We start from the raw sequence: 12,699 nt of genomic DNA, 5'->3' as shown, positions 1-12,699 counted from the left end.
TCCTGTGTTGTAGATACTCCATTCTAGGCAAGAGTGGCTGAGAGTTCTGGGGTTCTCCTCCTCTACCCAGCCCCACTCTGTAAGGTGGAAGCTCTACCTTAGGTGCAGCAGGCCAAAAAAATGCCTGGTTGCATTTGCCCCAGCTCATTCATAGGGTAGAGGTTCCATAACATAAGTAGCAAGCCAAGAAGATCAGAAGCTACTGCCCCATCCAGCAGCCTGTTCATAAAGCACGTGTGTTATTCTCTGAGAAGGGGGCCCATTCTCCCTACCTCCAGAGCAGTTGTGCAGAGGTTTTGCCCAGAAAGTGGCAGGCTGTAAGAACAGAGGGATCTTAAGGGAACTGACTTCCTTTGGAACTGAGTGTGGAGGAGTTCCAGCTTAAGGGGAAAAGCAATGGAGATTTTGATGGTAAGCAATTTTGGTGGCAAGCAATTATGAGGAGGCTAGTAGCTTGTCAGATTAACAAACTAAACTATAGAGTAGCTACTGAGAAGAACGCTCCTGGAGTTGTAACAAACCTCAAAGACTGGCCTCAAAGAGTACCTTTGCAAAAGGGCCTGAATTTAATTGAATCACATGTGGAGCAATTTCTACCCCAGGGCACTGTTGAAAACAATAGAGCAATTAGTTATCAATGGAGGATAATAGCTGGGTACGATTCCAACAAAGCCAGACAGCTTGACAGAGAAATCATAAAAAGAGACAAAGAGACCCCTGCTAAAACCACTGTCACCTAGGGTGACCCCGGTCATGCCCAAGGCTGCTTTCTCTGAGGAGTAAAATCAGAAGCTGCATACTTAGGAGAAATAGACTTCGCTAAAATAGTCCAGCTAAGTCACTAAACAAATAAGCAAACAAAAAAGAGCCCCAGAATGTGAGAGTTCAGTGTTTAGAGTGCTACAGTATATTCTCTAAAATGTCCAGTGGTTAACAACCATTTATGAGACATGAAAAAAAAAAAGCAGGAAAGTGTGACCAGACATAAGAAAAAGAAAAGCAGGCAACAGAAACTACCTTTAATCTTCAGAGTATGCAAATTCAGTAAAAAAGAAAAATAAATAAAAAAAGAAAGAAACTTCCCCTCAGAGGGTCCAGATATCAGGCTTAGCCAAGACTCCAAAGCAACTGTTATAAATATTTTCAGAGAACTAAAGAAAAGAATGCTTAAGAAAATAAAGGAAAATAATTTCTTGTCAAAATAGAGACTATCAATAAAGAGATAGAAATTATAAAATAGCACCAAATGAAAATTCTGGAGTTGGAATACAATAACTAAAATGAAAACTTCATTAGAGAGATCCAGCAGTAGAATGAATGGACAAAAGAATGAATCAGCAATTGTAAGGAGAGATTAACAGAGATTACACAATTGAAAGAGCAGAGAGACGGAAAAAATGCAGAAAAATGAACACAGCCTTAGAGAAATGTGGAAAACCATTAAGCACAACAACATACATGTAATTGGAGTATCAGAAGAAGAAAGAGAAAGGAGCAGAAAAAATATTTGAAGAAATAATGCTTGAAAACTTCCCAATTTTGAGGAAAACAATCTACACATATCCAAGAAGTTTAATGGACTCCAGGTCAGAATTTGCAAATATGCAAATATATCCAGACATATTGTAGTGAAATGATTAAATGATCAAAAACAAAGAGGCTATAATCCCAGCTACTCAAGAGGCTGAGGTGGGAGGATAACTTGAGCCCAGGAGTTTCAGTTTAGCCTGGGCAACACAGTAAGACATCATCTCTAAACAAACAAACAAATAAAAAGCAAAGCATTAAGTGAAAAAAGACTCATCAAAGAGAACAGCACCTCAGACTAACAGCTGACTTGTCATCAGAAACAGTGAAGGATAGAAGCCAAAGTGCTGACGGGAAAAATAAGTATCAACCAAGAATTGTATATCCAGCAAAGCTGTCTTTTAAAACTGAAGGTGAGGCTGGGCGAGGTGGCTCACGCCTGTAATCCCAGCACTTTGGGAGGCCAAGGTGTGTGGATCACAAGGTCAGGAGATCGAGACCATCCTGGCTAATGCGGTGAAACCCTGTCTCTACTAAAAATACAAAAAATTAGCCGGGTGTAGTGGCAGGTGCCTGTGGTCCCAGCTACTCCGGAGGCTGAGGCGTGAACACGGGAGGCAGAGCTTGCAGTGAGCCAAGATGGCACCACTGCACTCCAGCCTGGGCGACAGAGTGACACTCCGTCTCAAAAAAATAAATAAATAAATAAAACTGAAGGTGAAATAAAGACATTTCCAGATGTGCAAATACTGAGAAAATTTATTATATACTATTGAATTTAATTTGCCAAAATTTTGTTGAGAATTTTTCTATGTTCATGAGTAACATTGGATTTTAGGTTTTCTGTTCTTTTTTAAAAAATTTTACATACAATTTTGTTGCTTCCTAAACTCACCTGACCTTAAAACCTTTTTCTGTTTTTTTATAATACTGTGGTCTGGTTTTGGTATCAATAAAATACTGGCCTCATAGAATGAATAAATTAGGAAATGTTTCTCCCAGTTCAATTTTCTGGAAGTTTGTGTAAAATTGGTATTCTTGGCTACTTGGGAGGCTAAGGTGTGGGGATCATATGAGCCCAGGAGTTTGAGTCCAATCTGGACAATACAGAGAGACCCTGTCTTAAAAAAATTGCTACCATTTATTCCTTCAATGTTTGGGGTCAGCCAATCCAGAATCATACACCAGTAAAAGATCCATTCAAAGTGTAAGGTCAGTGGATTTCACTGTCACAAAGTACAAAAACTCCATTGACCTGGTTTCAGATTTTACACTGCAACTAACCTTTGAAAAACTACCACTTTTTGCATTTTGGTTTATATCAAAGAAGAATATCCATGCTTATCTAAAAACCTCCTCCATAGCTGGGTGCGGTAGCTCATGCCTGTAATCCCAGCTCTTTGGGAGGCCAAGGCAGGTGGATCACTTGAGCACAGGAGTTCGAGACCAGCCTGGGAAACATGGTGAAACCCTGTTTCTATCAAAAATAATAGAATAAAATAAATAAAATAGCTCCTCTTTTTTCCACTCCCATATCTGTGGGATGGAAGTTTCTTCATATACTGCAACCAAAACAACAACATATTACAACAGACTGAATGCAGAAACAGGTATGAGAATACAGTTGTCTTCTCTACAGCCAGACACTGAAAAGATTTGCAAAAAAACCACCACCAACAACAAATACACAGAAAAGAAGCTATTCTTTTTAGTAATATTTAAAAATATATATTTTTAATAAAAATATAATGTTTATGCTAAGAAATGCACCGTTTTTTTTAAAGCAAACCAGATTTTAAGTTCTCTATTTAAATTTCTGATGACGTGTTAGTTTCCCATTGCTGCTATAACAAATTACCACAGATTTCATGGCTTAAAACAAGATGTATGGCTGGGCGTGGTGGCTCACGCCTGTAATCCCAGCACTTCGGGAGGCCAAGGCGGGCAGATCATGAGGTCAGGAGATTGAGACCATCCTGGCTAACACGGTGAAACCCAGTCTCTACTAAAAAATACAAAAAATTAGCCAGGCATGGTGGCGGGCGCCTGTAGTCCCAGCTACTCGGGAAGCTGAGGCAGAATAGCGTGAACCCGGGAGGCGGAGCTTGCAGTGAGCCGAGATCGCGCCACTGCACTCCAGCCTGGGCAACAGAGCGAAGACTCTATCTCCAAAAAAACAAATAAACAACAACAAAAACAAAACAAAACAAAAAGCAAGATGTATTCTCTTACCGTTCTGAAAGCCAGAAGTCTGAAATGGATCTCAGTGGGGCAAAATCAAGGCAAGGCATCTGCAGGGCTGTTTCTAGAGGCTCCAGGGGACAAACCATTCTTTGCTTTTTCCAGATACCAAGGCAACCCCATGTCTTGGCTCGTGGCCCCATGCCACATGGCCTTCTCTTCTTCTGCATCCATCATCACATTGCCACCTTCTGCCCTTGACCTTCCCGCGTCCCTTTCATAAGGACCCTTGTGCTAATGCTGGGCCCATTCAGATAATCCAGGATAATCCCCCCATCTCAAAGTTCTTAATCACATCTGGAAATCCCTTTGCCATATAATGGGACAGATTCACAGATTCAGGGATTAGGATGTGGATCTCCTTTGAGGGCCATTATTCAGCCTTTTACATACGGTAAGAATCAGGAGTCATGCGCCCCATACACAGAAGCTCCTTGGGGTCTTTGGTAATCCTCTGAGTGTAGAGAGGTCCCAGCAATGGCTGCTCTGGGCTATCAAAGTGAGTGGGCCTGGGGGATTTTCTTGAACAGCCTCCCCTGCTTGATGCCCAGGGAACCCAGGCCAGGTCGCAGCTTGAGGGCAGCACAGAGCATGGCCAGGTCAGATCCCTGCTTGATGCCCAGGGAACCCAGGCCGGGTCACAGCTTGAGGGCAGCACAGGGCATGGCCAGGTGAGTGCCTCTGCTGTTCTATAGCCGTGTGGGCAGCAGCCCAAAGAGCTGGGTCTGCAGCAGGGCTGAGTGCGAATCCTGCTTGGGTCCCTCTGTGTTGCAGGTCCGTGAACTCAATATGTTCACAACCAAACCTGTGACCTTCCACCTAAACCTGTACCACCACCCGCGTCTGCCCCACCCTTCCCTGGTGCCCAAGCCCTTGTTCTCCTTCACAGACCACCCACCTCCCCACCCAAACCATAGGAAATTCCACCAGCATTCCTTCCAAAACACCTCTCAAACTTACTCCTTCTCTACCCAACTCCACTCCTGGTCCAAGCCACCGACACCTCCCATCTCCGTGACTGCAAAGCTCCCTTGCTGGTCTCAAGCCTTCAGCCCTGTCCCTCCCAGTCCACTTCCCAGCCACAACCTCTGGGAATAAATGCGATGGCAATCTGGCAGGGCTGCCTCCTGCCTCACCTCCTCGTGGCTCCCCATTGCCCTCGTGGCAAACGTCCAGCGTGCCTGCTGCTGCTGAGCCCTCCAGCCTCATCTCTTGCCACATCCCCACTTGCACCCCAAGCTCCAGGCAGACGAGCACTGCTTGGCTCCTCAAACCAGCCAGCATCTCTGGCCTGTGAACCTGAGCACGTTCTGTGCCTCGGCTCCCTCTCCCCGTCCCCTGCCCAGGGGTCATTCCTGGGCATCCCCTGAATTTCTGGGGTGGGTTGAGGGCCTCTGTAGTCACTCGGGTGTCCTAGGCTTGTCCCTACTGGGCCCCTAATATCCCTCCAGGCTTGGCCCAGGTTAGACTTGGGGAGGGCGCATGGAACAGTTGTGAACAAATTGATAAGAATTCCAGGTACGTGGGGAGGGAGGTCATCCACGGAGAGGTCCCCCCCAAAACCCTCAAGGACCTCAACTGGAAGGTGAACCCCAAAGGGAAAAGGAGCCCCATCTACCCCTGCTCCAGAGGCCCAGGGGTGACGCTGTGGAGGGGTCAGAATCAGGGACTCTGCCCACAGCCACTGCACCATAGAAGGCCGCAGAGCCACTCAGGAGGGGCGGGAAGACAGCCACGGGTGACCAGGATTCTCTCATTCTTGCCTTGACCAAACTCTACTCTGCCACCCCGGACTCTTTTATTACCCTTAAGATGGTATCTCACACTGTCACCCAGGCTGGAGTGCAGTGGTGAAATCTCGGCTCACTGCAACCTCTGCCTCCCAGGTTCAAGTGATTCTCCTGCCTCAGCCTCCCCAGTAGATGGGATTACAGGCGTGCACCACCACGCATGGCATATTTTTGTATTTTTAGTAGAGACGGGGTTTCGCCATGTTGGCCAGGCTGGTCTGAAACTCCTGTCCTCAAGTGATTCACCTGCCTCAACCTCCCAAAGTGGTGGGATTACAGGCGTGAGCCACTGCGCCTGGCCCCTGGGCTCTTTTTCAACCAGGCCTGACCTTTTGACTTCCGTGGTCACCTCTGTATTGTCCAGTTTTAGCAGGAATCCTGCTAAGTCAGTTTATCCAGAGCCCCCCGTATCTGACCACCTTCCATGTCTGACTGGGTTCCTCTTCCTCCACCACCCCTAGGTGCTGTCTGAGCACCCTGGCCTGTCTTCAGCAGGAATTCTGTTAGGTGGGTTTAGCTGGAACCCCTCTTCGCTCGGATGTTTCGTTTTAGTCACTTTCCATCCAGTGCCCCCCACCCTGCTCCTTGGCGATCAATCCCAATATCTCTCCCGAACTGCAAAACCCCATCAATCTCAGTGGCTCCCCACTGCATAAAGTCAGCCTGACCATCCTTAACAAGTGTCATGAATGATAATGGTGGGCTTTGCAGCTGGCCTCGTGCCCTCCCTTCTGGGCTTAGCAAAACACTCCCGCTCAACCCTGGTTCTCCTCAGATGACCAAAGGCTTTCCTCCTCACATTGGATGTACATTTCTTCTTTGTTTTAGAGACAGGGTCTTGCTCTGTTACCCAGGCTGATGTACAGTGGCACAATCATAGCTCACTGCAGCCTGGAACTGGACTCGAGCAATCCTCTTGCCTCAGCCTCCTGGGTAGCTAAGACTACAGCTGTGCCCAGCGAATTAACCACAATGCCCAGGGAATTAATTATTTATTATTATTATTACTGTGAGATGGGGTCTCATTCTGTCGCCCAGGCTAGAGTACAGTGGTACAATCATGGTTCATTGCATGATTTTTTTATTTTTTGTAGAGACGAGGTTTTGCTGTGTTACCCAGGCTGGTCTCAAACTCCTGGGCTCAAGCGATCCGCCTGCCTTGGCCTCCCAAAGTGTTGGAATTATAGGTGTGAGCCACCGCGCCTGGCCTCATGTACATTTCTAAATCTCCCATGCCAGGACCTCTGAGGTTTCTGCAGACCACACTCTCTCCTTCCACCCCTCATCACCTTTCCTCTGCAAGGGGCCTCCCTTTCTGGCCTGGACCCCTCCACACTCCCCAGCCACCCCTTCTCCCCAGCTCAGCCTGTCCACCCTGCTGCTCCCCTTGAGTCTTCCCTGAGGCTCAGGGAGTCCAGGTTGGGGGTGCTTGGGTCTCAGCAGGGCCAGCACTCACCACTGGTGTTCCTTGCCATACCCTGTGTAAGGCCCCAGAGCAGGCCCACCTGTGGCCTCTATGAGATCTCAGTATCGGACTAATTAACACCCTCAACCCATGCCATGGGGCCCCTGATGTGTTCCCAGCACTGGACCAGGTCGGGGAATCCAGAGATTATGTTCAGACCCAGCCCTGCCTTCCTGGAGCCCTCAGAGAGCCAAGCCAGCAACAGTCCTCACCTGGCTCAGCCAGGACACTGGTTGCCTAGATAGGACATGCGAACCAGTCACAGGCAGACCTGCAAATGGGTTTCACTGTCCAGAATTGAATGGATGGCTACCCAGCTGTGGCAGGGCGAAGGCATTACTGAGCAAAAGGGGCTCACTGCCCCATGTGCTAAAAGCCAATGCTATGACACTGAGTTTTTTTTTTTTTTTTTGAGATGGAGTCTTGCTCTGTTGTCCAGGCTGGAGTGCAGTGGCGCCATCTCAGCTCACTGCAACCTCCACCTCCTGGGTTCAAGCAATTCTCCTGCCTCAGCCTCCCGAGTAGCTGGGATTACAGGCATCCGCTACCATGCCCAGCTAATTTTTGGATTTTTAGTAAAGATAGGGTTTCTCCATGTTGGCCAGGCTGGTTTCAAACTCCTGACCTCATGATCCACCTGCCTTGGCCTCCCAAAGTGCTGGGATTACAAACATGAGCCACCGCGCCTGGCCGACGCTGGGTTTTTGAGAAAAGAAAAGCTTTTATTGCAAGTTGATTTACAAGGGGATAGGAGTCCAGCTCAAAGCTGCCTCCCTGTACTGGCTTTAAGGCAGTAATTTTATTGGAAAAGGTTTATGGGGTGGAAGGAAAGGGAGGTCCTTGGGCAGGCGCAGTTATCCTTCATGCCTCATGGGTCGCATGTGCAAATCAGGAGACATTAGTGTGAAACACGCGGTGGAAATTTAGGCTTTGATGTCTGAAAGCCTGCTCTGCACAGACTCCCATTGGCCATCTTGGTTCCAGCCAATTTCAGCCAGTTTCTAAAATCTCACAAGCGGAGGGAGTGTCAGCTTTTTAGGAAGTTGTTTCTTTTCTTACCTGCTATCCTGCAAACTCAAGAATTTCTGTTAGTCCCTGACGTCTTTAACTCCTTGGGGCATAGTTTCGGAGGGACCCATAGGGGCGGCAACACAGACGTGCGACCTGTGGGCTGCTGCCCAGGGCCTTGTGGGCAGAGGGTCCCTGTGCTCCATTTAATGCTCTGCTGTTGCTGTCTTGAAATTCTTCATAGTTTTCCAATGGGGACTGCTCATTGTCATTCTCTCTTTTTTTTTTTGAGATGGAGTTTCATTCTTGTTGCCCAGGCTGGAGTGCAATGGCATGATCTTGACTCACTGCAACCTCCACTTCCCAGTTTCAAGCGATTCTCCTGCCTCAGCCTCCTGAGTAGCTGGTATTACAGGTGTCTGCCACCATGCCTGGCTAATTTTTGTATTTTTATTAGAGACAGAATTTCACCATGTTGACCAGGCTGGTCTCAAACTCCTGACCTCAGGTGATCCACCTGCCTCAGCCTCCCAAAGTATTGGGATTACAGGCGTGAGCCACCGTGCCCAGCCCTTTTTTTTTTTTTTTTTTGAGACAGGGTCTCACTCTGTTGCCTACACTGGAGTGCAGTGGCGTTATCTCAGCTCACTGCAACCTCCGCCTCCCAGGTTCAAGCAATTCTTGTGCCTCAGCCTCCGAGTAGCTGGGATTACAGGTGTGTGCCACCATGCCCAACTAATTTTTGTATTTTTAGTAGAGATGGGTTTTCGCCATGTTGGCCAGGCTGGTCTCGAATTCCTGGCCTCAAGTGATCCACCCTCCTCAGCCTCCCAAAGTGCTGGGATTACAGGCATGAACCACTATGCCCAGTTGTGTGGGCTGCTTATTCTTATTTCATACTGGACCTTGCAGATTATATGGCCAGTCCTGAGGGTCTTGAGTCTTCGTGCGTGGGCCATCCACCAGGTACACATCCATCTAGCATCACCCGTCATCCTCATCTTCTGCTGGGTGCCTTGCCATGTGGCAAAGTCAAAGGCCTGTGGTTGAAGTGATCATGGGATGTGGCGCTCAGGAGTGGTGTCCAGCTGGGAGCTTCAGGAATGCCCAAATCCTGCTTCCTGTGAAGTCCCCCAGCGAGATACAGGCACAAAGACACAGACGCACAGGAAACCAACGTGCCACTTGGTTCTGGGAGCCTCTCAGAAAAAACCACAGTAGGCCTGGGGCCTTTTGAGGTCTCTGGGTGACGAGTCCCTCTTGGGATTAGACCATGGTGACTGCTGATCCTGAGCAAGTCACACAAAGCTTCACAACCGTTCCAGATGATAAAACATGGCACTGGGGCCGGATGCCGGTGGGAAGTCCCTCCTTCCGCTCTGGTTTTGTGGTTGCTTGCTGTGTGCTGTTTCCACGAGAGGACAAAGGGGAACTCACCCCCAAAGGTCCCAAAGTAGGTGAGAAAGGTGCAACTGGATGTCACTCTCGGTCCTGCCTCAAGTGAGTCACACAGTTCTGACCGGCTGTGCGGAGGACACCGTTTCTCTTTCTTTCTTTCTATTCTTAGAGACGAGGTCCCGCTCTGCTGCTCAGGCTGGAGTGTGGTGGTGTGATCATAGCTCACTGCAGCCTCGACCTCCTGGGCTCAAGCAATCCTCCCATCTCAGCCTCCCAAAACGCTGGTATTACAGGCATGAACCACCACGCTGGGCCAGAGAGAGCCCACCATTTCTGTGCGAGGAGAGGCAATGAAGGTGTCCCCTCTGCCCTCTGAAATTGCCACCCAGATATGCCCACGGAGCCTAGTTGTGTCTACAGTCAGATACTTCTGGGCTGCCCCTGAGACCAGATGAGTGATGTCACTTCCGAGTCCTGAATTGCCTGGGAAGGTAGGAAGGACAATGAGTGGTGTCTGAAAGTACAGCCCTAGGCACGGAGGGAGAGAACAGTTAGAAGCATTTGACTGATTTTGGTCTCTTTTGTTTTGTTTTTGAGACAGGGCCTCACTCTGTCACCCAGCCTGGAGTGCGGTGGTCTGATCATGGCTCACTGCAGCCTCAAACTCTTGGACTCCAGCGATCTTCCTGCCTCAGCTTCCTGAATAGCTGGGATTACAGGCATGTGCCACCACATTAGGCTAATTTTTTTTTGAAAGATGGGGTCTCACTATATTGCCCAGGCTGGTCTCAAACTCCTGGGCTCAAGTGATCCTTCCACCTCGGATTCCCAAAGTGCTGGGACTACAGGTGTGAGCTACCGCGCCTGGCCTGATCTTGGTCTCTTGATTTTCTGAAAGCTCCATCTCACTGTGACTAAAAGAGTTGAGAGAGGCTGGGTTTCTGTAACTTCTGCAGGTTGTAACATACTCTAAAGGTTCTAAACTATTACTAAGTGGATGATCAATTCCTTAATTTGGGCTTTTGTAAAGTGGGCCAGAGTTCGAGGCTTAGGCTCGAGGTCTAGGGGGACCTCCCCATGCCTGTGCCCAAACACCATGTGGAAGAAGTCAATGAGTCCCAGCAGATGTGAGGAGCAGAAGTGACCCCCGGAAAGGCAGCTGTCCAGCAGGTGCATGACCACAGGCTCCACACGAGCAGACACCATGTCTCTCTGTTCCATGCCCTGTGTCCTTTGCATCCAGCAGAATACCAGTCACCTAGCAGGTGCTCAATAAGTATTTGTGGAAAAAAAAAAAAAAAGAGCCATCTGGTCACTCAGAAGCAGACGACTAGGAGGCGAGTGTGCATGTGTATGGATGTGTGTGCATGTGTGTGCATGTTATGGTGGGCGTGCATGTGGGTGATGTGTGCATGGGTACTTGTGTGCTTGTACCTGTGTGTGCATGTGTGCACACATATGGTGTGTGTGTGGTGAGGGGATAGGTCTTCTGATAGTGACCCTGCCTTCCAGCAAATTTGACCCAGTCACTGTCCTGGAACCTGACCCATTCTGAATGGCAGCCCTCATCTTGGGGCAAAATGGGGAGTGACAGGAGAGAGGCAGCTCTTTCCTCTCCCCGCTGCTAACGGGCGCCCTCCCAGGGCCTAAGCTCCCCTTGACCTGTGTGAGAGTCTGAGAGAAGATGCAAGTCCCCCTAGGGACCCGGCAGGAGGAGAGAAACACAATGTCTTGCCGCCTGGAGTCCAGCGTTGAATGGGGTTCGGGGGACACTTCTATCAGTCCTTGCTTGTATTGCCTCTGCATACCATAGAGCTCCAACATAGCCAAGGACAGTGGGGTTCAAATCCAAGGCCTGCCACTTCTTAGTTGTTTGGTCTTGAGCAAAATTCCCTCTTTTGAGTAGGGGGAAAATTATTACTAGCCTGTTGTGATTATTGAACAGGATCATGAAGTAACACGTGGTGGGCGGCAGCCTCCAAGATGAGAGTGTGGCCAATGAGCCCCACCTCCTGGCTTCATGCCCTGGTACGGTCACCTCCCATACTGAATAGGGCTGGCTTCTGTACCAATTGGATGTTGTGAAAATGACAGTATGATTTCTGAACTACTTTTTTTTTTTTTTGTGACAGGCTCTTGCTCTGTCACCCAGGCTGGAGTGCAGTGGCACAATCGTGGCTCACTGTACCTTTGAACTCCTGGGCTCAAGGAATCTCCCGTCTCAGCCTCCGGAGGACTACAAGTACACACTACCACATCGGGCTATTTTTTGAATTTTTTGTAGAGATAGGGTCTTGCTCTGTTGCCCTGGCCAGTCTTGAACTCCTGGCCTTTATTTTTATTTTTATTTTTTTGAGATGGAGTCTCGCTCCGTTGCCCAGGCTGGAGTGCAATGGCACAACCTCGGCTCACAGCAACCTCCACCTCCCAGGTTCAAGCGACTCCTCTGCCTCAGCCTCCTGAGCAGCTGGGACCACAGGCACGCACCACCATGCCCGGCTAATTTTTGTATTTTTAGTAGGGACGGGGTTTCACCATATTGGCCAGGCTGGTCTAGAACCCCTGACTTTGTGATCCGCCTGCCTGGGCCTCCCAAAGTGCTGGGATTAGAGGCCTGAGCTACCATGCCTGGCCAAACTCCTGGCCTCTTGATCCCAAAGTGCTGGGATTACAGGTGTGAGCCACCATGCCTGGCCTAAACTGCTCTTGAATCCCTGACCCACAGAAACTCAGGATAATCATAGTTCCTTGTTTTGGGTTTTTTTTTTTGTTTTTTTTTTGAGATGGAGTTTCACTCTTGTAGCCCAGGCTGGAGTGCAGTGGCACGATCTTGGCTCACTGCAACCTCTGCCTCCCGGGTTCAAGTGATTCTCCTGCCTCAGCCTCCGAAGTAGCTGGGATTACAGGCACCCGCCACCACACCCAGCTAATTTTTGTATTTTTAGTAGAGATGGGGTTCCACTGTGTTGGCCAGGCTGGTCTCGAACTTCTGACCTCATGATCTGCCTGCCTTGGCCTCCAGTTCCTTGTTTTAAGCTGGTAAATTTTTGGATAGTTTGTTACATGGCAAAGGATGACAAATGCATGTGTGTAGTCCAATGCCTGGAGCACAGTAAGAGATCAATAAATGATAGCAAGGCGCTGTTACTAATCAACCTTCTTCTCTGGAATCATGCTTTGTAACCAGATTGAGATCATTGTGCCAGGCTCCTTCTCTCCTTCAACCGTTCCAGCCAATACAACAAAGGACTGGTCCCATCAGTTTGCCAG

At 48.8% G+C, this 12,699-nt stretch overlaps 1 protein-coding gene across 1 annotated transcript in view, besides 2 other annotated features; it reads right to left on the bottom strand.

Moving 5' to 3' along the window:
- KREMEN1 (kringle containing transmembrane protein 1) overlaps positions 8,623-12,699 on the bottom strand; it is a 95,299-nt gene continuing 91,222 nt past the window's right edge. Inside the window, exon 10 of the mRNA NM_032045.5 lies at positions 8,623-9,912. Coding sequence (NP_114434.3) covers positions 9,850-9,912 — 63 coding nt within the window. The 3' untranslated portion in view covers positions 8,623-9,849. The remainder of the gene's footprint in view (positions 9,913-12,699) is intronic.
- Positions 8,959-9,248: an enhancer, noted in NCBI's record as "active region_18810". NCBI's record gives its function as "activates an Ori minimal core promoter by ATAC-STARR-seq in GM12878 lymphoblastoid cells {active_cell/tissue: GM12878}" and the evidence as "EXISTENCE:reporter gene assay evidence [ECO:0000049][PMID:35858748]".
- Positions 9,259-9,508: an enhancer, noted in NCBI's record as "active region_18809". NCBI's record gives its function as "activates an Ori minimal core promoter by ATAC-STARR-seq in GM12878 lymphoblastoid cells {active_cell/tissue: GM12878}" and the evidence as "EXISTENCE:reporter gene assay evidence [ECO:0000049][PMID:35858748]".

This window comes from Homo sapiens, chromosome 22, assembly GCF_000001405.40.
Source record: "Homo sapiens chromosome 22, GRCh38.p14 Primary Assembly".
Classification (NCBI taxonomy): Eukaryota; Metazoa; Chordata; class Mammalia; order Primates; family Hominidae; genus Homo; species Homo sapiens.
Note: the sequence above shows the minus strand (reverse complement) of the source record. Positions and strands in the feature narration are given on the sequence as shown.